This window comes from Homo sapiens, chromosome 4, assembly GCF_000001405.40.
Source record: "Homo sapiens chromosome 4, GRCh38.p14 Primary Assembly".
Classification (NCBI taxonomy): Eukaryota; Metazoa; Chordata; class Mammalia; order Primates; family Hominidae; genus Homo; species Homo sapiens.
Genome location: NC_000004.12, coordinates 145,740,464 through 145,767,369, shown reverse-complemented (window position 1 = coordinate 145,767,369; position 26,906 = coordinate 145,740,464). Strand labels below are relative to the sequence as shown.

The window sequence follows — 26,906 nt, the reverse complement described above, 5'->3', positions numbered from 1 at the left end:
CTTTTCATTTGGGGAGATTCCTTTCTGTTTCATTTCAGATAGTTTCTATAGCTATTATCTTCAGGTTTACTCATCTTTTCCTCTGCCATGTCTAATGGGATTACTGCTGGTAATAGACACTGCAGTTTTCATCAGTAGAAATTTTATTTAGATCTTTTTAATATCATCCATGTCTCTACTTAACTTCTTGAACATATGAAATACAGTCACCACTGTTTTAATGTCCTTGTCTGCGAAGTCTAACAACTGTGTCTGTTCTGGGTCACCTTTGATTGGTTGATTATTCTCAATTCGAATTGTGTTTATCTTTTTGCACATCTGATCACCTTTGGATGCAGACATTGTGGTTTTTACCATGTTGGGTGCTTAATATTTTATATTCCTATACATACTCTTGACCTTTGTTTTAGGATGCAGATAGCTACCTGGAAACCTCGTTCCTTTGGGGTCTTGCTTTCATGATTCTTTGGCGGGTCTAGATCACTAGGCAGTGATTTATCTAGGTTTAACCCACTACTAAGAGACCTTTCTTAGTTTTCTACCTAATGCCCTGTAAATTGTGTTTTTCCAATCTGACTGGTGGAAACAGGCATTATTTCTAGCCCTCTCTAAGTGCCGGGCACTGTTCTCTAAGCTTTTCAGGTGGCTTTTCCCCCTCCAACTATGGGTAGTCTCTTCACCCCCGTGCTCTGATCCATACTTTGCTGAATACTCAAGGGGGACCCTCTCTGTGTCTCTGGGGTTGTTCTTCTGTGCTGCCCCTTCCTCTCTGATACTCCGTCCTGCAAAATCTGGTCAGACCCTCAGCTCTGTATCCGCCACTCGGAGTCTGTCAGGTTCCACCTGGTTCCTTCTCTCTGCAATGAAGCCTGGAGAGTCTCAAGGCAGGAAACTGATCAGTCATATGGCTCACCTCTTTTGTTTCCTGTCTCTCAGGGGCCACTTTTCTTCATTGCCTAACATCCAGTGATATGAAAACTAGCATTTGGTATATTTTGTCTGATTTTTTTCAGTTGTTAGTAGTAATGGTAAACCCAGTCCCTGACGCGCTCTCTTGAGTAGAAGCAGAAGTCTTCTGACACTAGATTTTAATGGTCTGCTGACTTGTTTGTATCTGGCTTTGAGGGAGAGGGTCCCGAGTACTGATGAAGAGCATGGACCCTGGAGTCAGACGAACTCAAACCTCTTCTCCACCACTTCCCAGCCATATGATCTAGGCCAGATTAACCTTTCTGTGACTCCATTCCCTCATCGTAAAATGGGGCTGATAACAGTTGTGCCACACAGGATTTTTGAAAAAACAAAATGAGATAATTTAAAGTATAATACAGTTCCTGGAACGTGGTAACATGTTTAGTATGTCTTAGCTATTACTGTCGTTTTATTTTAATTCATGTAAGACCTTAATAAACACTTGTCAAATTAATGAATGCCTGCTCTTGGCCCCCAGTACCACAAAGGAGGTAGGTGCCTTAGGACCTGGGATCCCCCAGCAGTGGGGGAGCTGGGGACATGAGCCTGTGCCCCCAGAATGATGATGCATCCATGAGACTCAACTCGTCACCCTCAGTTGCTATAATTCTGAGGATTTTCATCTCATTAACAGACTGGGTTATTTGCTTATTTTTCAGGGGAAGACAGGAAGACCCCCAGCGAATCAAATAGCCCCTCTTCATCCTCCCTCTCAGCTCTGAGTGATTCAGCCAACAGCAAAGATGATTCAGATGGCTCCCAGAAAAACAAGGGCGGGAACAATCTGCTGGTCATCTCTGTCATGCCTGGGAGCCAGCCCTCACTGAACAGTGAGGAAAAGCCAGAGAAAGGTAAGGAGGAGGTGGGTGTGAGCCTGCTCAACCCTCCGCACCCAGGATGACCCATTCTTGAGAATAAGCCCTGCACAGGAGCGATGTCAAAAACTGATAATAGGCCCAGGATGCAGTATGCTGGGCCTCACCTAAAGGTTGTATTTCTTTTGGCTTAATTTGAATCCGAGTATGGGGTGGAAGGATGGGGAGGGTGACATTGATTCCGATGTTTGTACATTTAACTCCTTTTAGCACAGAGATATGGGGAACAGTGCCTGGAAGGGTATAGCTGTCAGGCGTCGGAGGAGGCGGGAGGAAGTGGGGAGGAGCTTGGCTCCACTCCTGCCCTCCTCTCCCCGCTGCCCTGTGCACCTCTATACCCAGCTTCGGTCCTTGCAGGGTTCGAATGTGTTTTTTGCAACTTTGTCTGCAAGACGAAGAACATGTTTGAGCGTCATCTGCAGATACACCTCATCACCCGGATGTTTGAGTGTGATGTGTGCCACAAGTTCATGAAGACCCCCGAACAGCTGCTGGAGCATAAGAAATGCCACACTGTCCCCACCGGTGGGCTCAAGTAAGGAAAGCAAGTACAGAACCTTTTACTGCGTTGTTATTAAATACCCTTTCCCCTTCCCTACCCCGTCCCTTCCCGTGAAGGTTTTGGGAGTCATGGAGAAGGGGAGCTTGGTATGAGAGGAGTTAGTCAGGAACCCCTGCTGCCTTTAGCTGGATTGAATTAGACCTGTCCCCCTAGGGTGTCAACAGATGTCAGTAGGAGAATCCATTTTGCAAATACCCCGGGATTCAGGGCAAGAAAAAAGACACGTTGAAACAACCCAGCATGCAAGAATAGACTACACTGCTTGAGTTTTGTTCAGACTTGATTTTAATGGACTCAGGGCTTAGTGTCCCCAAGCATAAATCATACTGTGACCGAGATTCACCTTCTCTGTTTTTCCGATGGCTTGCTACATATCCTTTAAGTAAGCATTGCAACCACCCCACCCTCCAAAATTGGACAGTTTGAACAGGCAGGAAGCAACATTTTTCATGCAACGATCATGTGCTTCATGATCCTCCTGCAAACATACTGATGTCTTCTTCCCAAGATCTAGACAACGAGCATCATCTTTAACCAGTATTTTCAAGAGGCCCTTTGGTCTCAAGTGAGACCAATCAACTAATATCAAACGTACTGTGTGTCTGGCTTGATAACAGGTGCCAACAGGCACACAGGAATAAAACACCATTTCCACCCTCAAGAAATGTATGTCCTAGTACTACCTCATCTGCACAGTGAAATCAGAGTCCCTGTTCACAAGGCACTTAGGGTCTGGTAAAGAGAAAGCAGCACAGGTAGGAGGACACAGAAAGACACAGTTTTCAAGGCATAATTACTAATTCTCAGCTAAACGATCATGTTGAATGAAAAATTACATTTTACTTAACACAAGGGGGAAAAAACCTTTTGTTTTAAAACATGTTCGTCATTGAAACGCACAACCTGCCAGAGAGGTGGCATGACTCCCCTAGATGGGTGAGGAAGGGAGAGATGGAAAAGACCCTGGGAGTGGAGTGTTGGGGTCAGTGCAGGTTGGGTCCCCCCAGGCCCCTGCCTCCTCAAAAACTCCCCCACATAGAAGAGTCAGGGAACAACAGGACCTCCGTTGAACTCCATTTCGTTTCACTCTTGGGGGAGGGGGAGGGGAGGGCAGAAGGGATTGGGGAGGGGGTGATTATAATTCAAGGAAACCAGTAGATGGGAAATGCCTAGGAAGAGCTTATTTGGGGATTTGATTTGGTTTGTTCCCACTGTCCCTTTATAAATATTTGTGTGCTCTCATTTTAAAAAGAGAAACACCAGAACCATGTTTTTCTGTGGTTGGACCAGTGCTCACTGCCCTTCCCAGTAGCCCAGTCACACCCATGAACATTGCAGCCCCTGCCAGTTGTGGCTTTGCCAGTTCGCCTTTCCTCAGGGACCTCCAAAGTCCCCAGCCTCTGAAGCCATTGGGGAGAATGCACAGTGAATTCTGATGCTTTTGCTGGTACAGACACTTCCCGTGCGGTGCTAACCGTCCCCTGTGTAATAGTTTATGTTCTAGGATGACCAAGTAGAAGAATACTTTGAAAAAATTGATAATGCCTTCTGGCTATACAGTGAGTCTTTGTTTTGTTTTGTTTTGTTTCCTTTGCCATATCAGAGAATTAATTTGCCTGAGAGAGTGTCTTTAAGAAAATAACGGGAGCACGGAAAACCCTTAGCACTTTGCCTGAGCAGTGAAAGAAAGATTGAGCTGTGGGTCACAGAAATGTCCTTAAAATGAAACAGACTGCTGATGTCTAAATTGCTTTTCTGTGATGGAACTGCTTGTACTCTATATCCTGTTCATAATGCAGATCAAATAAGATTATACTATTATTTTTCTTTTGCCGTAGCTCAGGACAGTGGTGAGTTTCAGACTCCTCTAGGTAAGGCCCAGCTTGGCGTAGGGGTTGTGTGTGCACCTGACCTGGGAATGGGCTTTATATTTCTCTCGTGTGCACTCTTCTGTGAGCTGAGGTTCAAAGGCTAACGGCGAGCTTGGCGCTGAGGAGGCCGTGCACGGTGCACTTGGTTGTGTTGGGCTCTGCTGAACACCTCTCCAGACCCTCCGAGGACAGTCCACTCCTGAGCCCTGCCCTGCAGGAGCCAAGCAAGAGCTGAGGCAGCCACTTTTGCATCTGCATTCTTTGTGGAAAGAGAGCAAACACACTACAGTTCTCATATAAGCCACTGACTCCAGCCTGGCAGCTTCTAAAAGAGAGGCTCAGCAGAGTTTGTTAACATGGCCTCACCACTCCTCGTGGCCCCTCTGGACAGCCAGGAGGGTTGGTGGTAGCGTAGCCTCACTGCAAAGGATGGAGAAACCGAGCCACAGAGAGGCCCAGGCTAGGGTGTCCAGCTCCAGCCTGACAAGGTGATGGAGCTGGGACCAGCATCCGCCCTTCCAGAATCTACCTAAATTGCCTGTAGAGACCACTCAAATAATGAACCAGTATGTCCTGAGTGCTTACCGTGTGTTAAGTACTCTACCAAGCACTGCAGAGAATGCAGAGGAAATGTAAGATATGGTCCTGCCCTCTGAGAATTTCCAATCCAGTTGGATTATTATCCTATCTCCGGCATAATCATGTATTAATAATGTCTTCGAGCTCCAGATAGCAGTTGTCTCCCTCCCTCCTCCCTTCCTCATTAGCAGATGGGCCGTTGGGTGGGCTTCCTTCTCCTCCCATGCCCCTGCCATAGTCCTCAGCTTCCTTTCCTGACAAAGAGCTAGTCCTGTAGGGAGATATGTTTTACGAGTACATAGATATGTACACATGCACACACTCACACAGAGAGACACACACAGGCCTTCTCATCCTAACAAACCCTTAATAAGCACGATTCTGACCCCTGTGACTTTCTGTTTGCTGGAGGTAGCGCTCCCCCTATAAGCTGTTCTTTAAAACCTCTTAGCCTTTCTGCGTGTGCTTGGTGTGGTGCATGAAAAGTCGATTCTTTGTGTTGCTCCCATCTAGAGGGGAGGTCAGGAGGTTTAGACCTCTGCGCTGTCTGGTCGGGAGTGGGGAGGGCTCCGAGGGGCCGGGCGGGGGCTGGAGGGGAGCACCAGCAAATTGATTCCTGGCACTTTCTCTGCTCCCCTTGGTGAGGGCTGGCCTTGCCTGTATCGGCCAAGAGACCCAGAATAGGCTGAGCGGACCTTGCCAGAGCTGCTTGTCAGCGGGGACTGCTCTGTCAGCAGGGAGAGCCAAAAAGGGCCGTTCCACCCCTGAGAGGCGGCAGGGCTGGGCTGGGCTGGGCAGGCCAGGCCTCAGACACTGGGGGGTGGTGTGAGGGAAGGCTGGTGAGGCGGCGAGAAGCGCGGCTGCCTCCGAACCTTCCCGGCTGAACCTCCCTTGCGTTGCTTTCCCCGGCAGGTGCCCATTCTGCATTTATTCCACCAACCGCCCCGCTGCCATGGAGTGCCACCTCAAGACCCACTACAAGATGGAGTACAAGTGCCGGATCTGCCAGACGGTGAAGGCCAACCAGCTGGAGCTGGAGACGCACACCCGGGAGCACCGCCTGGGCAACCACTACAAGTGCGACCAGTGCGGCTACCTGTCCAAGACCGCCAACAAGCTCATCGAGCACGTGCGCGTCCACACCGGGGAGCGGCCCTTCCACTGTGACCAGTGCAGCTACAGCTGCAAGCGCAAGGACAATCTCAACCTGCACAAGAAGCTGAAGCACGCCCCACGCCAGACCTTCAGCTGCGAAGAGTGCCTGTTCAAGACCACACACCCTTTCGTCTTCAGCCGCCACGTCAAGAAGCACCAGAGTGGGGACTGCCCCGAGGAGGACAAGAAGGGCCTGTGTCCAGCCCCCAAGGAACCGGCCGGCCCGGGGGCCCCGCTCCTGGTGGTCGGGAGCTCCCGGAATCTCCTGTCTCCCCTGTCAGTTATGTCTGCCTCCCAGGCTCTGCAGACCGTGGCCCTGTCGGCAGCCCACGGCAGCAGCTCAGAGCCCAACCTGGCACTCAAGGCTTTGGCCTTCAACGGCTCCCCTTTGCGCTTTGACAAGTACCGGAACTCAGATTTTGCCCATCTCATTCCCTTGACAATGTTATACCCCAAGAACCACTTGGATCTCACATTCCACCCTCCCCGACCTCAGACTGCGCCTCCCAGCATCCCCTCACCCAAACACTCCTTCCTGGCCTATCTCGGACTGAGAGAAAGAGCAGAGACTGTCTGAGGGCAGCCATGTTCTGTACCAAAAACAGAGAGACAAAAGACAAAAAAAAAAAAAAAAACCACAAAACTTAAACACAACCCCAGCAGGTGTATGTTGCTGCAAAACCTACAGACCCCGATGGGTCTGGAACATGTGTACTGTATATCTTTAGTAAGGAATAGAAAATTGGCTCTGTGTGTATACCTATTGCATTGACCTGAAAGCTGCTTTATCCAATCTTCAGAGAGGTGACCTACTGCATACTTCTACCTTCAGAGGCATGCCTCCCCAGCCACCCACTCCCACTCTCAGCCCTTCTCCGTACTTTTCTCTGAAAGGAATCTTGTCTTGTTAAACCCTAAAGAGAGTGTCCTTAATAGCAATCAGCACTTGTAAGCTTATATACTGGTGCATTTGGTTTTCTGTTGGGTGAATGCGGTGTGTGGGCGTTTGTGGATTCTGAAAGAGAAAGCCGTGTGTCGTGTGCCATGACATTTCTATTGCACATTCTTTGTACTGGCTTCTTTAACAGCGATGAACGTTCTTTTCCCTCCTGGGTTGTTCATCCACGACAGTCTCTCCCTGTGCTCCTTCATCACCTTTCCCTCTCTCTTTGATGGCTACAGAGTGGTAGGGCCTGGTGCTTAGTCGATGAAGGAATGGTAGCCATCTACAGTGCTGCTGGAGATTTCCGCCAGAGCGCTGGAGACCTTGCGCTCAGATCTTCTCTGGTGATGAAGAGGCGAGGAATCAAGTGACTGATCTGGAAGAAATATCTCGCAGCACTGCAGCTAACATCACAGAACTTAAGTGTGTTTTGTGTGTGTGCCCACACGTAGACAAATGTGTACGGTGCACACACACAGTGCATCATTTTTTAAGGGCAGATTATATATATATATGAGATGTATTAATTCAGTGGTTACCATTTGTTTGCAGGAAAAAGAAATGTATGGGTGAAAAAATTTATGGTTGATAAATCCAGCCAAGGAGATTAAAAGGGGTTTGGATAAATTCTGGGTATAAATGCTCAGACTAAAAAAAAGAAATGGCAGTTTTGCACAGTGCTATGGTCTTGCACTAGTTTTTGTTTCTCATCTGAAAAAAAAAAAGTAAAATAAAAGGAAGAAAATGTACCTTTTTTATGGAATGAGTAGACTGTATGTTTGAAGATTTAGCCACAACCTCTTTGACATATAATGACGCAACAAAAAGGTGCTGTTTAGTCCTATGGTTCAGTTTATGCCCCTGACAAGTTTCCATTGTGTTTTGCCGATCTTCTGGCTAATCGTGGTATCCTCCATGTTATTAGTAATTCTGTATTCCATTTTGTTAACGCCTGGTAGATGTAACCTGCTAGGAGGCTAACTTTATACTTATTTAAAAGCTCTTATTTTGTGGTCATTAAAATGGCAATTTATGTGCAGCACTTTATTGCAGCAGGAAGCAGGTGTGGGTTGGTTGTAAAGCTCTTTGCTAATCTTAAAAAGTAATGGGTGATTTAAAAAGAAAAAAGGAAAAAAATCTTTGGCTGAATATGTTCATTGCTTGTATTTTTAAAACAACAGAATTTCCAGTATGAAACAGGCTGAAAGAGCAGGAAGAAATGTTCTTTGTATAATAATGGGAAGTTTGGAATATAAAAGTTTATATATTATTTATCTATTGGAGAACTGGTGTACAGGAGGAACATTTTCTTACTGTGTTGCTGTTTTCCATCATGTGTTATCCTAAGAGTTGGGGTTTTTTAAAATCTGTTTCACCAGGGGAAAATAAAAGCATCCCTAATGTTCTTCCTCTAGTCAGTTTGCTTTGCTGAAAGCTCCCTGGAAATTAGTACAGTTCTACAGGAAGCCAGAAGACTGTACTGTCTGTCCACACCATGGTCTCCTCAGTCCCCTCCACGCCAGCCCCTCTTCCCCACACCTAGTAGGTGTGCTACACCTCCCTTTGCCAGTCATCCCGCCATGGATGGGGAGCCTACTTGGTGCCCTGGCAAACCTGTTTACACTAAGGAGATGCCCACAGGGAGCGGGAAGCTCCCAAACCCTCAGTCATTCTCCAGCAGAGACCTTTGCTCTTGGCCAGGTTTGAAACGATGTTCAACCTCGCCACGTCAATGTCTCAGTAAAAGACACTATAGATAGTTATGGACAATACACTCCAAGAATACTGGGCTTATGGGTGGGTTGGTTTTTTGTTTTGTTTTGTTTTGTTTTCAAGTCATGTCTTTATCCCCATATAATGGAGAATGTGCCACTTGGCTAATAATGTGTTTTCAAAACTACAAGTTCAGTGATGACAGGAAAGAGGGCTAAAGTAGTCCCACAGAGGCTGGTAGAAAAGGCGAATCACACTTAAGCACCAGCAGGTTAAAAACCTGAAAGGGTGGCCCTGACAATTCAGACTATAGGTTTTACAGCATGCCACTTGTGCAATAGGAGGTCTAGGGTTGAAACTTTCAAGAACGAGAGGAGGTGAAGGAAGGAGACGTTTACTGCTCAAATGCCATGCATTTCACTGCTTGCCACTGAACTTGTATTTGAATGACTTAGTAATGCTTAATATAATTGGGCAACTTTTTTAGCACTTTGGAAAGAGTCATCAATCTTTCTGGTAAATTATAAAAGTTTTCTGAGTGAGAAAAGGTGTGTTTGGAGTTTGTTTGACTTTTTATATTATTATTGTTATTAATAAAGAAAAAAATCTACAGCATTTTTCAGACTCCACCCTAGAAAATATGTACCCCTGAATTTGGTTTGCAGTTTGATACTCAGGGAAGGATGTATTCCATAGATATCCTTTCCGTATAAAACACTAACATCTTTGAGAAATTCACCTACCAACTAACTTCAATTGTTGTCACTATGCATTCTTCAATGAAAACTAGCTTATTTTTCCATATAGTAATGCAGTTAGGGTTCTCAGCACTTTCTTTCTTCTATCCTTTTTTTAACTCTTCATATTATGTTCAGATGATCATACTGTCAAGGTTTGTGTACATTACTGAAAATTTGTATTGTATAAAGCTTTTTGCATTACGAGGCTGTACAGGGTCATTTTGACAGTAACTGGTATATTCCTTTGCATCTTATGTTGCATTGCCAATTTCTAGTGTATCCAGTTTGAAAGTATAATATACTCTAATTAAAAAAAAAAAAAGGTTGGCTATACTCTTGTTTCTTTTTCTTTTTTGGTTTGCCATCCTTGGCTGCTTGTTGGTCTCAGGGTTATGTCTTGCTTTGTTCTGTTTTTTACTTCTCTGTGTATTTTAATCAGATTTCAGAAGTGTCCACTCCTGGTTATAACTGTCACAAAATTCAAGTGTTGAACAGCGATGGTTATAATGCAAACTGTTATTATGTACATCATTAATGGCCATTAAGGTTGAGAGCATATCCATCATTCAGGACAGTGGCAGGCCAGCTCCTTCCTGAAATTACTTAGTGACATTTAAAAGTGTTTGCCAGCCCTATCCTCTCCTGCTTAACATCATTTCATTGACCCCATAGCCAAAGGGGGGAAAACAGATGAATAATTCCATTTATCTTAATGAAGTTGGGCAACTATGAGATTTTAATGAGTGGAAAAATGGTATGTTTTGCAAACTAAATAATAATCTATCCAAATGCAAGTAATAATAGTTCACCTTTCAAGGGAAGGTACCAGAGAAAGAAACTGAGACCAAAGACAGAGAGAGAAAGAAATGAAAAACACGCTAAGTTCAAACAATTTTTTAAAATCCATTTTGTTCTATCTATTTGAGACCTTTCCATGAATCTATGATGGTTGACAAAAATATATAAAGCAGCAGAAGAGACTGTTTTGCCTGGTTTGTAATTTGCATGCTTATAAATATAATGTCCTTTGCTTATTTCAAGCAATTGTGAACCACTTCACTCTAACATTTAAAAAGATCAAATTTACTTTTTTAAAAATGAGATAATGTAGGAGAAGCCACTTTGAAAATGGCCAGTCACTAATTAGACACTATTTTCTCTTTTATTTTTTCATCCAATAGCTATTTTTTAGGTGATTGAGTCAAATACGTTAATTTGATTCAAATACTAATTTTGTGTTGAGGTGGCTGGTGTTTATTGAAAATGTTAAAATAAGGCAGACTTCTTTGATTTTTGCTAGTGCTACAGGCAGGTGTGGCTTCTCATTTTGTGTACACATTCTTTTTTCCTTAAACTCCACAGCTACCTTACATTTTCCCTGAAGTTGAGAATAGCCAGCAATACAAAGAAAATAATCATCAGTTTAGTAATCATTTCCCCAGAAATGGGCCTTCAGTGACTTTGAGAAATGGTCTGGAAACAGAACTGTTCATGACAGAACAGACCACATCCTCTCTCATCTTGACTTCTCTGGAAAACATGGTGTGTGGACCCCGGCATCTCCAAGCCAGTCATGAGGCCTTTGATTGAATTTTAATCCAAGCACAATTAGATATTTCTCCTACTGTCATGCTACATAAATATAGTTTAAGCTAAGACTCAAAGCCATGTTTTCTATAATGTGTCCACTGCTGATGGATTGTTTGGGGGCCACCAATGAACCATGCCTGACCATTTAACTGAGCTGCCGCACCGGTCACAGGAGAGCAAGGAGAAATAGCAAACCATGGTGAGCACATATGTCCCCTTATCCACAGTCAGAAACACCACAGTAGAACCCCTGCCTGCCAAAGGTCATGTGGGGCTTGTGAACAATTTGAAGGGGAAGACACATCTCATTAGTCACCTCCATGCCTTCAGTCTGTGGGGACGAAGGAGAGCCAAGAGGTGCTTAGTGAGAGATGGAAGCGGGTAGCAGCTGAGTGATTTCATCAGTGCTTCCAGAAGACAGAGAATATAGAACTGGAACCCTTCCCAGCAGCAGCTTAGAACCTGTGAGCAAAATCACAAGATAAAAGGAGTCCCTTGGAGATTTAAGATTCATTCTAAGGAGCCATCTATCACAGATATTCAAGATACTCCAGCCAATATTCTTGCTTACATCATTCCCTCAGAATAGAAGAGTCCCACACAAAATGGGGTTTATTTTGGGAATAACTACAATTAACTAAGCAGGCAAATGCCTGTAAAACAGGCCCCAGGGTAAGTGAAGTGGGGTGACTCCCAGAAATTGGGGCACCCCGTTTTTCCCTGTACAACATCTGAAGGGTTATTTCTTAATCAAGGCCTCTTCTTCTTTATGAAGTAGTAGAGTTTCTGTTCATAATTCTTTCTTTGTAGTTGAATCTGTAAAACAGGAAAATTCAGATCCTGCTCACACTGATAGGAGGTGCAAAAGGGAAAAGAAAAACCAATTGCTATATTCCCCTGGAATTCCTTTCTCATACAGCTAAGTATTAGTTCATTAGTTCTTGGTTTTCAGTAGAATTATAAACCTGGAGCAGAGAATCTGCTTCAATTCACACTTCAAAATCATTTCCCCCTACACAATTCTTTATAGGTGGTTTTTTACCCTGTATAGTGAGAAAATTTGGATTACTTGGAGTCAGGCTACCTGAGTTACAAACCTGGCTCAGACACAAACTAGGGCTGTGATTAAGACATACCGTTAAGCATCTTATGAAAAGAGGCGCTGAACTAAATGATCTCTAAGGCCCCTTCCCACTCTAATATAACATATAATCAACTATGATTCTACAACTTGTTGTAAACAAGAAAAAGTCAGCCTTTTGAAAGAGATGGTTGCAAGGCAGAATCCTTGTAAGGCAGTTACAGCAAAAATGGCACCTCAATATTTTCAAGTCACAACAGGCTCAGTGAAGGGAAAAGAATGACTAAAAAGATTTTTCTGCTCACTTCAAAGGTTGGGAGATCTAAAGTTTTTCTCTTCTTTTTTCTTTCTTGAAACAGAGTCTCAATTCTGTTTCCCAGGCTGGAGTACAGTGGCATGATCTCGGCTCACTGCAACCTCCACCTCCCAGGTTCAAGCAATTCTCCTGCCTCAGCCTCCCGAGTAGCTGGGATTACAGATGCATGCCACCATATCCAGCTAATTTTTATATTTTTTAGTAGAGACGCAGTTTCACCATGTTGGCCAGGCCAGTCTTGAACTCCTGACCTCAAGTGATACTCCTGCCTTGGCCTCCTAAAGTGCTGGGATTACAGGCGCGAGCCACTGCGCCCGGCTTAAAGTTTTCCTTGTCTGGTTAGAGCTAACTCTCCATGCTTGGAATGCCTGCAGTCGTCTTGAGGGTGGCTTAAACATATTTTACTGAACTGTTTGATCTGGTTTGATGAGTTAGGGGTTTGCCAGATGGATAGAGAGGCTTTGCCCTGCCCACTTTCATCTCTCCAACTCTGCTCCCTCCATTTCCCATCCCAATTGCTTCCAGCCTCCTCAAAGTCACCAGTGCCACTGTGACCACTGAGCTCTGACAACCACTTTTCATATGTTTTCTGTAGAAGAGTAAATGGTTTCTTATAGCAGGTATAATGAAACATTTTATTTAGTTTTAACATAATGAAAGAATACACTAAATATTGAGGTGGCAAAGAAGCCCTGGGCAGGCAGCAAGAGCGACTTGGTGAAGCCAAGAGGAGGTCCTGTCAATGACATCTGACCCGAGCTGGTTGCTACAACAAAAGGTAGAATAAGGTGAGTCTGTGAGATGGGGAACAAGTGGTATCCAATACAATGATCATATTTGGTGTGAATGTTGCCATGTCTTTAGCCTCCAGGTCAATGTTGGTTACCCATCCACCCTGCTGGGTTAACTCAGCGCACTTCCCCTCCACTCCTGGCCCCCTACTCTTGAGAAGGACTGATGGTCTTGGGCAGAGCCAAGGACAGCACTGTGTCATGATGCTAAGAAATGGAGGAGTTGGCACATTAAGAGGCAGGCAAAGCCTTCTCATTCATGTAGCAGGGCCTCTTTAGAGTCCTCCCATATTGGGGGTGTGTTATTTCTCTGATGGGATGTAGCTCTTCTAGGACTTTTTAGGGAGAAGCCACTGGAGAGGGTTGTGCACTGCCTTCCACCATAGCCTCTTTGACCTAGGAAAGCCATATGAGAGCCAAAACAGGGCTGATAGGGACAAGTTACCACCCAGGCCTCTGCAGGCAGCCTCAAGCCCAAGCAAAAGGCATCCCAGTGGCTCTCTTAGGTCCAAACTCACCATGAAAGGGGTTGTGAGCCATACTCCAACTAGGAATAAAAAGATTACATTTGTCTGACATCTTCTCTGTGCATATAACTCCCCCAGGAATATGGGGCTGGACAAGGAGTAGGTGCACTCATAACAGATAATTGAAAATTAAAATATTCAGCATAGGGGTTTTCTCTGTTTCTTCCCATCTTTGACACACAACTAGCAGTTGTATTATTAATGGAAGATTGGGATAAAGATGGACTGATGGATAGGATGGCCACATGGATACATAGAATGTATATATAAAGAATGCATAGGTACATACATAATAAAGATAGAAACATAATAAATATGTATGTGTGGGACCACCCAGAAGGAAGGTCATCAATTTTATTATTCTAGGATTCATATTAAAAGACAATATTTTTCAAGGGTGGAGCAAGCTGGTCGAATAGAAGCATTCACCAATCGTCCTCTTTTTCCCCCACCAGAAACACCAAATTTAACAACTACACACACACACACACACACACACACACACACACACACAAAACCTTCATAAAGACCAAAAATCAGGTGAGCAATCACAGCACCTGGTTTTAACTTCATATTACTGAAAAAGGCACTGAAGAGGGTAGAAAAGACAGTCTTAAATTGCCAAGACCATCCCTCCCCAGCCCCCAGCAGCGGCCACGTGGCACGCAGGATCTGTGTACTTGGGGGAGTGAGAGCACAGCGATTGTGGGACCCTGCACTGACCTCAGTGCTGCCTTGTTACAGTGGAAAACAAAACTAGGCTGAACTCAACAGATGCCCACTCATGCTGGCAGCATTTAGAACAGCCCTAGCCAGAGGGGAATTGCCTATCCAAGTGGTCGGAACTTGAGTTCAGGCAAGACACACCATTGTGAGCTAAAGCGCTCAGAAATCCTAAATAAACTCAAAAGGCAGCTTAGGCCACAAGAATGGCAAGTCTTAGTGCTGTGCTGGACTTGAAACCAGTGAACTTAGAGGGTATACGACCTACTGAGACACCAGCCAGGGCAGCTAAGGGAGTGCCCATGCCAACCCTCCACCAACCCCAGGCAGTACAGCTTACAGCTCCAAAATGGACCACTTCCTTCCATTTGAGCAGAGAAAAGGGAAGAGAAATGAGGGCTTTGTCTTGTAACTTGGATAACAGTTCAGCCACAGTAGCACAGGGCACTGGGCAGAGTCATAAGGCGCCGATTCCAGGCCCTAGCTCACGGACGTTTCTAGACACATCCTGGGCCAGAAAGAAATTGCTGCCTTGAAGAGAGGGAGCCATTCCTGGCAACATTCATCACCTGCTGACTAAAGATCCCTTGGGTCCTGCATAACCAGCAGCGATACCCAGATAGTACATCAAGAACTTTGGGTGAGACTGAGATTTGCTGGCTTCAGATAAGACCCAGAACATTCTGAGCTGTGGTGCCTACTGTGAGAGATTCCTTCTGCTTGAGATAAGCAGAGGGAAAAACAAAAGGGGACTTTGTCTTGAACCTTAGGTACCAGCTTGACCACAGTGGGGTAGAGCACCAAGCAGGCTCTTGAGGTTCCTGATTCTAGACATTGGCTCATGGACAGCATTTCTGGACCTGCCCTGGGCCAAAGGGGAGCCCACTGCCCTGACAGGTGAGTCCCAGGCCAGGCAGCATTCACCACAAGCTGACTGAAGAGCCCTTGGGCCTTAAGGGAACATCAGCAGTCACCTGGCGGTACCCACCATATTGTGGGCACGTGATGGTAGTGGTGGCTATGGAGAGAGGCACCCCTGCCTGTGCAAAGGGAAAGGAAAAGTGGGAAGGACTTTGTTTTGTGGCTTGAGCACCAGCTTAGCCACAGTAGAAGAGAGCATGAGGCAGATTTCTAAAGTTTTTGACTCCAGGCCCTGACTCCTGAAGAGCATCTCTGGGCCTGCCTGGGTCCTGGGGGAACTCACTGACCTGAAAGGAAGGACATAAGCCTGGCTAGCTTCACTTGATGATCGTACAGCCCTAGGGCCCTGAGCAAACATAAGTACATAAGTAGAGCCAGGCAGTAGTTACAGTAGGCCTTTGGCAAGACCCAGTGCTGTGCTGGCTTCAGGTCTGACCCAGTGTAGTCCCAGTGGTAGTGCGATGGGTTGCTTATGTCACTCTATCCCCAGTTCCAGGCAGCTCAGAACACACACAGAGACTCTGTTTGGGAGAAAGTAAGGGAAGAAGACAAAAGTATTTACCTGGTAATCCAGAGAATTCTTCTGGATCTTATCCAAGATCACCAAGGCGGTACCTCTACCTCCTGCAAGAACCATAGCATTATTGGGCTGGAGGAGTCCCGTAATGCAGATACAAATTAGATCACAACACTCAAGTCCCTTCAAAGAATTGGAAAGCCTTTCAAAGAAGGATAGGTACAAACAAGCCCAGACTACAAAGACTAAAATAAATACCTAACTCTTCAATGCCTAGACATTGTTGAACATCCTCAAGCATCAAGATCATCCAGGAAAACATGACCGCACCAAATGAACTAAGTAAGGCACCAAGATCAATCCTGGAGCAACAGAGATAAGTGACCTTGAAGGCAAAGAATTCAACATAGTTGTTTTGAGGAAACTCAGAGAAATTCAAGATAACACAGAGAAGGAAATCAGAATTCTGTCAGACAAATTTAGCAAAGATGGAAATAAAAAGAATCAAGCAGAAATTCTGGAGCTGAAAAATGTGATTGACATACTAAAGAATGCAACGGAATCTCTTAACAGCAGAATTGATCAAGCAGAAGGAATTGTTGACCTTGAAGACAGGGTATTTGAAAATACATAGTCAGAGGAGATAAAATAAAAAAGAATTAAAAAGAATTAAACATTCCTACAAGATCTAGAAAAAAAGCCTCACAAGGGCAAATCTAAGAGTTATTGGCCTTAAAGAAGAAGTAGAGAAATAGATAGGGGTAGAAAGTTTATTCAAAGGGAAAATAACACAGAACTTCCCAAACCTAGAGAAAGATACCAACATTCAAGTACAAGAAGGTTATAGAACACCAAGTGAACTTAATCCAAAGAAGACTACCTCAACGCATTTAAAAATCAAACTCCCAAAGGTCAAAGATAAAGAATGGATCCTAAAAGCAGCAAGAGAAAAGAAACAAGTAACATACAATGGAGCTCCAATATGTTTGGCAGCAGACTTTTCAGTGGAAACCTTACAGCCCAAGAGAGAGTGGCATGACATATTTAAAGAGCTAAAGGAAAAAAAAAAAAAAAAAAAAAACTTTTACCCTAGAATAGTGTATCTGGTGAAAATATCCTTCAAACATGAAGGAGAAATAAAGATTTTTCCCAGAAAAAAGCTGAGGGACTTTATCAACAATGGAACTGTCCTACAAGAAATGCTAAAGGGAGTTCTTTAATCAGGAAAAAAAGGATGTTAATGAGCAATAAAAAAAATCATCTGAAGGTACAAAACTCACTGGTAATGTAAATACACAGAAAAAAAACAGCATATTATAACTCTGTAACTGATATGTAAACTATTCTCATATTAAATAGACTAAAAGATGAACCAATTAAAAATAATAACTACAACAACTTTTCAAGACATAGATAATATAGAAGATAAATAGAAACAACAAAAAGTTAAAAAGTGGGAGATGAAGGTAAAGTGTAGAGTCTTTATTAGTTTTCTGTTTGCTTGTTTGATTTTTTAGGCTAACAGTGTTAAGTTGTTACCAGTTTAAAATAATGGGTGATGGACGGGCACGGTGGCTCATGTCTGTAATCCCAGCACTTTGGGAGGCCGAGGCGGGCAGATCATGAGGTCAGGAGATCGAGACCATCCTGGCTAACACAGTGAAACCCCGTCTCTACTAAAAATAACAAAAAATTAGCTGGGTGTGGTGGTGGACACCTGTAGTTCCAGCTACTCGGGAGGCTGAGGCAGGAGAATGGTGTGAACCCGGGAGTTGGAGGTTGCAGTGAGCGAGATTGCACCACTGCACTCCAGCCTGGGCAACAGAGTGAGACTCTGTCTCAAAAAAATAAAAATAAAAAAATGGGTGATAAGATAGTATTTACAAATCTCATAGTAACTTCAAACCAAAAAACATATAACAGATACACAAAAAATAAAAAGTAAGAAACTAAATCATATCACCAGTGAAAAATCACCTTCACTAAAACGAAGACAGGAATGAAAAAAAAAGAAGGAAGACCACAAAACAACCAGAAAACAAACAACAAAATGACAGGAATAAATCCTCACTTGTCTATAATAACACTGAATGTAAATGGACTAAGCTTTCCGATTAAAAGACATAGAGCAGCTGAATAGATTTTAAAACAGACAAATGAAAAAACAAGACCCAATGATCTGTTGCCTGCAAGAAATACACTTCACCTATGAAGACAAGCATAGACTGAAAATAAAGGGTGGAAAAAGATATTTCATGCTAATGAAAACCAAAAAAGAGCAGGAGTAATTATAATTATATCAGACAAAATAGTTTTCAAAAATTATAAGAAGAGACAAAGAGGGTCACTATATAATGATAAAGGGGTCAATTCAGCAAGAGGATATAACAATTTGAAATATATATACATATATATATATATATATATACACACACACACACATTGGAGCATCCAGGTATATAATGCAAATATTATTAGAGCTAAAGAGAGACATCGACCCCAATACAATAATAGCTGGAGACTTCAACATCCCACCTTCAGCGTTGGATATATCTTCCAGACAGAAAATTAACAACTAAACATTGAACTTAATCTGCACTATTGACCAAATGGACCTAATCGATATTTATAGAACATTATATCCAATGGCTATAGAAAACACATTCTTCTCCTCAGTACATGAATCATTCTGAAGGATAGACCATATGTTAGTTCATGAAACAAACACATATAAATTTAAATAAAATCAAGCATCTCCTCTAACCACATTGGAATAAAACTAGAAATCAATAATGAGGAATTTTGGAAACTATACAAATACATAGAAATCAAACAATATGTTTCTGAATGGTCGGTGCGTCAATGAAGAAATTAAGAAGAACGTTGAAAAATGTCTTGAAACAAATGATAATTGGAACACATCATACCAAAACCTATGGGATACAGCAAAAGCAGGGAAGTTTATAACTATAAGTGCCTGCATCAAAAAAGAAGAAAAACTTCAAGTAAATAACCAAATGATGTATATTAAAGAACTACAAAAGCAAGAGCAAACTAAACCCAAAATTTGAAGAAGAAAAGAAATAAGGATTAGAGCAGAAATACATGAAATTGAAATGAAGAAAACAATACAAAAGATCAATGAAATTAAAAGTTGGTTTTCTGAAAAGCTAAACAAATTTGACAAACCTTTAACCAGACTAGCTAAGAAAAAAAGAGAGGTGATCCAAATAAATAAAAGCAGAGTTGAAAAAGGAAACATTACTACTAATACTGCAGAAATTCAAAGGCTCATTAGTTGCTATTATGAGCAACTAGATACCCGTAAATTGGAAAATCCAGAAGAAATGGATAAAGTTCTAGATGCATACAACCTATCAAGATTGAACCATGTAGAAACCCAGTTACTTGAACCAATAACTTGAATGTTATTTGACTAGTAACATGTAACGAGATCAAAGTGGTAATAAAAAGTCCCACAGCAAAAAAAAGCCTGAGACATGATGGCTTCACTGCTGAATTCTACCAAACATTTAAGAAGTAATACCAATCCTACTCAAACTATTCTGAAACAGAGAGAAGGGGATACTTCTAAATTCATTCTAAGAGGTCAGTATTACACTGATACCAAAACGAGACAAAGGCATGAAAGAAAGAAAAACAAGAAAGAAGGAGGGAGGGAGGGTGGCAAGGAAGGAAGGAGGGAAGGAAGCAAAAGGAAAAGAGAGAGGAAGGAAGGAAGGAAGGAAAAGAAAAAGAGAAAGAGAGAGAGGAAGGAAGGAAGGAAAGAAGGAAGGAAGGAAGGGAGGGAGGGAGGGAAAGAAGCGGGGAGGAAGGGAGACTAAAGATCAATGTCACTGATATTGATGAAAAAATCTTCAACAAAACACTAGCAAACTGAATTTAATGACACATTAAAAGGATTATTCATCATTACCAAGTGGGATTTATCTCAGGAATGTAAACGTGGCTCAACATATGCAAATCAATCAATGTAATATATCATATCAACAGAATAGAAGACAAAAACCATATGATCATTTTGATTAATGCGGAAAAAGCATTGTTAAAATTCAACACCACTTCATGATAAAAAAAAAAAACCTCAAAAAACTGGGCACAGAAGGAATACTCCTCAACATAATTAGAGCCATATATGACAGATCCACAGCTAGTATCATACTGAATGGGGAAAAACTGAAAGCTTTTCCTCTAAGATATGGAACACAACAAAGATGCCTACTTTTACCACTGTTATTCAACATAGTACTGGAAGCCATAGCTAGAGCAATCAGACAAGAGAAAGACAGGGCATCCAAATTGGAAAGAAAGAAGTTAAATTATCCTTGTTTGCAGATGATAGGACCTTATATTTTAAAAAACCTAGACTCCACCAAAAAACTATTAGAACTGATAAATTCAGTAAAGCTGCAGAATACAAAATCAACGTACAAAAATCAGTAGCATTTCTATATGCCAACAGCAAACAGTCTGAAAAAGAAATTTAAAAAGGGATCCCATTTACAATAGCTACAAATAAAATGATACCTAGAAATTAATCAAAGAAGTGAAAGATCTCTACAATGAAAATTATAAAACCTTAATGCAAGAAATTGAAGAGGACACAAAAAAGAAAGGTATTCCATGTTTGTGGATTGCAAGAATCAATATTGTTAAAATGTCCATACTACCCACAGCAATGTACAGATTCAATGCAATCCTTACCAAAATACCAACAGCACTCTTCAAAGAAATAGAAAAAAAAAATTCTAAAGTGTATATAGAACCACAAAAGACCCAGAATAGCCAAAGCTATCCTGAACAATAAAAACAAAACTAGAGGAATTACATTATGTGACTTCAAATTACACTACATGGCTGTAGTAATCAAAACAGCATGGTACTGGCATAAAAACAGACCTACAGACCAATGGAACAAAATAGAGAACCAGAAACATGTCCAGGCATCTACAGTGAGCTCATTTTGACAAAGGTGCCAAGAACATACCTTGGGGGGAAAGATGGTCTCTACAATAAATGGCACTGGGAAAACTAGATATCCATATGCAGAAGAATAAAACTAGACCCTTATTTCTCACTATATACAAAAATCAAATAAAAATGGATTAAAGACTAGTATCTAAGATCTCAAAATATGAAACTAAAAGAAAACATTGGGAAAACTCTCCAAGACACTGGAGCGGGCAAAGATTTCTTGAGTTATACCCCACAAGCACAGGCAACTAAAACAAATATGGGCAAATGGGATCACATCAAGTTAAAAGCTTCTCCACACCAAAGGAAACAAACAAAGTGAAGAGATAACCCACAGAATGGGAGAAAACATTTGCAAACTACCCATCTGACAAGGGATTAGTAATCAGAATATATAAGGAGTTCAAACAACTCCATAGAAAAAAAATTATAATAATCTGATTTTAAAATGGGCAAAAGATTTGAATACATATTTCTCAAAAGAAGACATACAAATGGCAAACAGGTTTATGAAAAAGTGATCACTGATCATCAGAGAAATGCAAACCAAAACTACAATGAGATATCATCTCGCCCAAGTTAAAATGGCTTTTATCCAAAAGACAGGCAACAACAAATGCTGGTGAGGATGTAGAGAAAAGGGAACCCTAGTACACTGTTGGTGGGAATGTAAATTAGTACAACCACTATGGAGAACAGTTTGGAGGTTCCTCAAAAAACTAAAAATAGAGCCACCATATGATCCAGCAATTTCACTGCTAGGTATATACCCAAAGGAAAAGAAATCAGTATATTGAAGAGGTATCAGCACTTCCATATTTCTCACGCCACTGTTCACAATAGCCAAGATTTGGAAGCAACCTAAGTGTCCATCAACAGATGAAAGGATAAAGAAAATGTGGTAAATATACACAATGGAGTACTATTCAGCTATAAAGAAGAATGAGATCCAATCATTTGCAACAGCATAGATGGAACTGGAGATTGTTATGTTAAGTGAAATAAGCTGGACATAGACAAATTTGACATGTTCTTACATATTTGTGGGATCTAAAAGTTAAAACAATTGAACTCATGGAGATGGAGAGTAGAAGAATGATTACCAGAGTCTGGGAAGGGTTCTAGGGGGTTAGGGGGAAGTGGGAATGGCTAATGGGTACCAAAAAAAAAAAAAAAAATGAATGAATAAGACCTAGTATTTGATACCACAACAGTGTGTCTTATAGTCGATGATAATCTAATTGTACATTTTATAATAACTAAAAGAGAATAATTGGATTGTTTGCAACACAAAGGATACATGCTTGGGTGATGGATACCCCATTTACCCTGACGTGATTGTTATGCATTGCATGCTGCATCAAATTATCTCATCTACCCCATAAGTATATATACCTACTATGTACCCATTAAAATAATTGTTTAAAGACAAAATTTTTCATTTTTTCTTTGTTCTATTTAATATAAAAACAGATTGATGAAAATGTATGAAAAGAAAAACTAAGGGTCAAAGATATCTTATTAATCAGAATGAATACCTCCTTGCTCACCTTTTCTACAATTAAATAAATGGGCATAGCAATAGATTATCACCATAGATCATCACCATACTATTCGTCAAGGTCCCATCTCTCTTTTTTTTTTTTGAGACAGAGTTTCAATCTGTTGCCCAGGCTGGAGTACAGTGGCGCTATCTTGGCTCACTGCAAGCTCCGCCCACTGGGTTCACGCCATTCTCTTGCCTCAGCCTCCCGAGTAGCTGGGAATACAGGCGCCTGCCACTACACCTGGCTAATTTTTTGTAGAATTACTAATTTTTTTTTGTAGAATTGCTAATTTTTTGTAGAGACGGGGTTTTACCGTGTTAGCCAGGATGGTCTCGATCTCCTGACCTCGTGATCCACCCGCCTTGGCCTCCCAAAGTGCTGGGATTAGAGGTGTGAGCCACCGCGCCCAGCCAAGGTCCCATCTCTTTATGGCATCAGACAATAGACATAGTAGCAGCAATAGTGAAATATTCAAGAGTTGGGGTTACAATTAAATGGGCAGAGTAATAATTTCCTGCCGAAGGACTTAACAATTTGGTTTATCTGCCTGTGGATAAGAAGCTAAATGTGTACACGAATGATTTTGTATCACAGGATCCTTTGTTTAAATATAAGCCCTTCACATTACCCATAATCCATTGCCACCCTCATCATTATTCCCTATCCCTTTTCTTCAGAGCCCAAAGTTTCCATCCCAGTTGAACATATTCTAAAGCAAGTCCCAGCCTACCTTACCAACCATTTCTCCCCCCAAGATTCCCCCTCCACGCTAACCATGATCAATGTCTCCCTCTCTTTTTCATTTATTATTTAATGAGCAACAAATATATGGAAAATCGTGTGTTGGCAGCTGATAAGGAATGGAAATAAATAAGATACATTTCCCAGCTTTAAGGAGTTTACTAACCAATAGAAGAAATGCGTGTTTGAGCATATGCATTATAATACAAGGAAAAATACACATAAATTGCTGTGAAAATATTGAATAAAGAATGACAGATTCTAACTGTGGTGGGAGGAGGCATTATGGAGGATGTAGCATGCAAGCTGCAATCTAAAGAATGAGTGGGATTTCCATACACAGAAAAATTGGGGAGGGCATTCCAGATTGAGAGAACAGCTTGAGCAAAGGCAAGAAGGTGAGAAATTGCTTGGTGGATTCTGTTGTGCTAGAAGATTACAATGAAACCAAACAAAGACAGCTTGTGTAGGGCTTCAAATCCCTGTCAAGGAGACTGAATGCCTAAACTACTCTGTAGTTAGTAAGAGCTAACAAAAAATTTTGAGGCGAATGGCATGAATTAGATCTGCATTTTAGGAAGATAATTCTAGCAGCACTAAGAAAGTCCTATGGTTTGAATCTCCCAAAGTTCATGTGTTGAAAACTTAATCCCTAATGTAGCTGTGTTGAGAGACAGTACCTTGAAGAGGTGATTAGCTCATGTGGTCTTTGCCCTCAGAAATGGATTAATGCCGTTATCACAGGCATGGCTTTGTTATCTCAGGAGCAGGATCTTCATAAAAAGATGAGTTAAGCCCGCTTCCCCTTCTGTCTCTCATGTGTTCTCTTGCCCTCCCACCTTCTGCCATGGGATGATGCAGCAAGAAAGCCTTCACAAGATGCTGGCCCCTTGATCTTAGACTTTCCCACCTTTAGAACCATGAGCCAAATAAGTTTCTGTTTATTATAAATGATATAGTCTCGGGTATTTTGTTACAGCAACACAAAACAGACTAAGACAGAAGGGAAGACTCAAAAGGCAAAAAAGACAGAGATGAGGTATGTTCCAAATGTCCTAAACTGAAGTCATCATCTTCTCCCTTAAATCTGACCCTTACCATGTATTTCTTACTCCAGTAAGGGCACACCTATCCTCCAACTTACCTAACCTATAAAACTTGGGGTCAGCTTTGTCCCCTTCTAGCTCTCCTACTTCTTTTTCTTCCTCTTGCTCTTTGGATAGTTAATCCATCAAAGAGCTCTGTTTATTTTATCTGCCAAATATTTTTATGACTCTCTCCTGTCTTTTCCACTCTTAACATCCTTGTGCAGATTCTTAGCATCCTCACCAGGTGGATCACAATAGTTTCCTGTCTAGAAGAAAATGCTCTGGCTGGGCGTGGTGGCTCACGCCTACAATCCCAGCACTTTGGGAGGCCGAGGCGGGTAGATCATGAGGTCAGGGGTTTGAGACCAGCCTAACCAACATGGTGAAACCCCGTCTCTACTAAAAATACAAAAAAATTAGCTGGGCGTGGTGGCGGGCGCCTGTAATCTCAGCTACTCAGGAGGCTGAGGCAGGAGAATTGCTTGAACCCGGGAAGTGGAGGTTGCAGTGAGCTGAGATCGTGCCACTGCACTCCAGCCTGGGCGACAGAGCAAGACTCTGTCTCAAAAAAAAAAAAAAAAAAAAAAAAACAAGAAAAAGAAAATGCTGTCGTGTAGAAAACTGAAAATGTATTCCAAAGCTCAGAAGAAAGTTCATGATGAGACTTGTTGGAGCAAAGATGACATTTGAAGACAGTGGAGAGGGTGGTAACACCATGGAAGAAACAGCAGCAGCAGCAACAACAGCAAAAACAAAGGCACCAATGACAGAACCTTAGGAGATGGCTTTAATGGAGGAGAAGAAAGAGGAGGAGTTGTCAACACATGAGAATGAGAAGAAACAGAGAAGCCAGAGACAAGCACAACATTGCTAGAGAACCCAACGGTAGAGAGACTTTTATGTGAAATCATACAGAAGGATGAGTAGAGTGAGGCTGAATCTCATAGCCTGTATCAATTTGATGGCCATTGGTGATCTTTAAGGATGCAGATTCAATGACAGGTTAGAAGTGGAAGCTAAATTCCAGTAGGTTACAGAATGAGTAGATGGTGAGATGCTGGCAACAAAGAGAAAAGTCTACCCTTGTATTGAGTTTAGTACTGAAAGAAATAAAGTTAATGCAGCCAGGCATGGTGGCTCATGTCTGTAATCTCAGCACTTTGGGAGGCCGAGGCAGGCGGATCACTTGAAGTCAGGAGTTTGAGACCACCCTGGCCAACATGGTGAAACCCAGTCTCTACTAACAACAACAACAAAAATTAGTTGGGCATGGTGGCAGGCGCCTGTAATCCCAGCTACTCAGGAGGCTAGGCAGGAGAATCACTTGAGCCTGGGAGGCAGAGGTTGCAGTGAGCTGAGATCGAGCCACTGCACGCCAGCCTGGGCGACAGAGTGAGACTCTGTCTTTAAAAAAATAAAAAAGAAAAGAAAAGAAAAAAAGAAAGTTAATGCATCCTAGCTCTCGCCAAAAGACCCCAAAGCTTTCCTTCTCTCTCAGGGAAATCTAACCTTTTCCCACTCCCTACTTCACATTCCTTTGAAGAAGAGTAAACTAGTGGCATTATAATCTCCAGCCACACTCCAAACTAATTTTCCATATCTTTTTCTATCAAGTCACCCTTTGAAGTGTAGGCCATCCATCTTCATACCATCCCTACTATTGCTGCCCACCAGGACCAGTTTCTGTTAGCCAAATATCCACAGGAAAAGAGGGCTACACAGATAAAATTTAGTACCTCGTCTCCTAAATACAAAGAGTCCAAAAAAGTTTTAAAATAAAAAAAGGTCAAAGGATGAAAAGTCGCCCTACCCCTCACCCCTCTGCTGTGGCAAGAGTTATAAAATAAGTATTCTAGACTGGAAAAATGAAGGATTAGAAGGGAATATGATCAGCCTCTAAGAAAACATGATGGATACGGCCAGAGAGCCCCAGACTCAGCCACCAAATTCCGGAATATTACAGCTAAAAGGTAAACCTTGAAGTTTCAAAGAGATTGTTTATGTTGGAGCCCTGGTCTCTGTTACCCTGACAAACTATCCTTTTCTGATGCATTGCAAGCCTGACCTTTGTGAGGAGGAGGAGGGGATCTCAAATTCTAGGCTGGACACCACTTCAGCCGTGGAGACAGCTGCAGCTCCATAATCCTCCCCACACTCACTGCTACCTCACCAATGGGAAAAAAAATCACCCTCATCAGATAGAATGGGAGGAAAGGTACTGGGTTTTATGAGATAGAAATGAAATAATCTGTTTTTTATTAACTATCATGAGAAAATTATTAGTTCATGCCAGAATCACAAATATAAACATTATCATATTGAAAGCATTTACTCTGAAGGAGACCATCTGGCAAAGCCTTGCAGACCACACTTTGAGAGGCAGAGCATGTGTCGCCATGGTGGGCTCTTCCATTAAAGCGGCAAATCCAGAAGAAGTGAAAATTTAAGGGTTTTGAGGGGAGTACTTTGCAGTAATGACATCTGCTAGATACTTGTCACATGTTCTCTAGAGGTGGACCTGCTTTTACAAATGCTGTTTTATGAAAACCTGTATTTTCAAAACAAGGGGTGGTTATTATTCAGAATCCCTCTCTTTAAAAGTGGGTTTTTCCTTGGGCACTGAATTTCAGAAGGGTATTTATATAATGTATAGAGCATT

The 26,906-nt window shown here is 42.2% G+C and overlaps 2 protein-coding genes across 26 annotated transcripts in view, besides 2 other annotated features; one reads left to right on the top strand and one right to left on the bottom strand.

Annotated features, from left to right (window-relative positions):
- The window catches only part of ZNF827 (zinc finger protein 827), a 181,197-nt gene extending 171,454 nt beyond the window's left edge, over positions 1 to 9,743 (top strand). For 10 of the 16 annotated variants that reach the window (XM_047449635.1, XM_017007768.3, XM_017007770.3 and 7 more), the window contains 3 exons: positions 1,632 to 1,823; positions 2,205 to 2,382; positions 5,772 to 9,743. In XM_047449635.1, the coding sequence (XP_047305591.1) occupies positions 1,632 to 1,823; positions 2,205 to 2,382; positions 5,772 to 6,591 (1,190 nt within the window). In that variant the 3' untranslated portion in view covers positions 6,592 to 9,743. Of the gene's footprint in view, positions 1 to 1,631; positions 1,824 to 2,204; positions 2,396 to 3,901; positions 4,281 to 5,771 lie in introns of those variants that run through there. The other 6 variants (XM_047449638.1, XM_047449639.1, NM_001306215.2 and 3 more) reach the window with 5 other exon arrangements.
- Positions 1 to 26,906, bottom strand: part of C4orf51 (chromosome 4 open reading frame 51) — a 112,298-nt gene that overhangs the window by 25,074 nt on the left and 60,318 nt on the right. The window contains exons 7-8 of one of the 10 annotated variants that reach the window (XM_047416080.1): positions 15,922 to 15,983; positions 13,014 to 13,163 (exon numbers count right to left, since the gene is read on the bottom strand). The exons of 7 other annotated variants lie outside the window; for them this stretch is intronic. The gene's annotated coding sequence lies outside the window, so the exon portion shown is untranslated. Of the gene's footprint in view, positions 1 to 11,580; positions 11,817 to 13,013; positions 13,164 to 15,921; positions 15,984 to 26,906 lie in introns of those variants that run through there. 2 more of the 10 variants (XM_047416087.1, XM_047416081.1) reach the window with 2 other exon arrangements.
- Positions 3,946 to 4,445: an enhancer, noted in NCBI's record as "H3K4me1 hESC enhancer chr4:146684077-146684576 (GRCh37/hg19 assembly coordinates)". NCBI's record gives its function as "activates a minimal SCP1, AML or CMV promoter by ChIP-STARR-seq in primed H9 embryonic stem cells {active_cell/tissue: H9 hESC(primed)}" and the evidence as "EXISTENCE:reporter gene assay evidence [ECO:0000049][PMID:30033119]".
- Positions 4,446 to 4,947: an enhancer, noted in NCBI's record as "H3K4me1 hESC enhancer chr4:146683575-146684076 (GRCh37/hg19 assembly coordinates)". NCBI's record gives its function as "activates a minimal SCP1, AML or CMV promoter by ChIP-STARR-seq in primed H9 embryonic stem cells {active_cell/tissue: H9 hESC(primed)}" and the evidence as "EXISTENCE:reporter gene assay evidence [ECO:0000049][PMID:30033119]".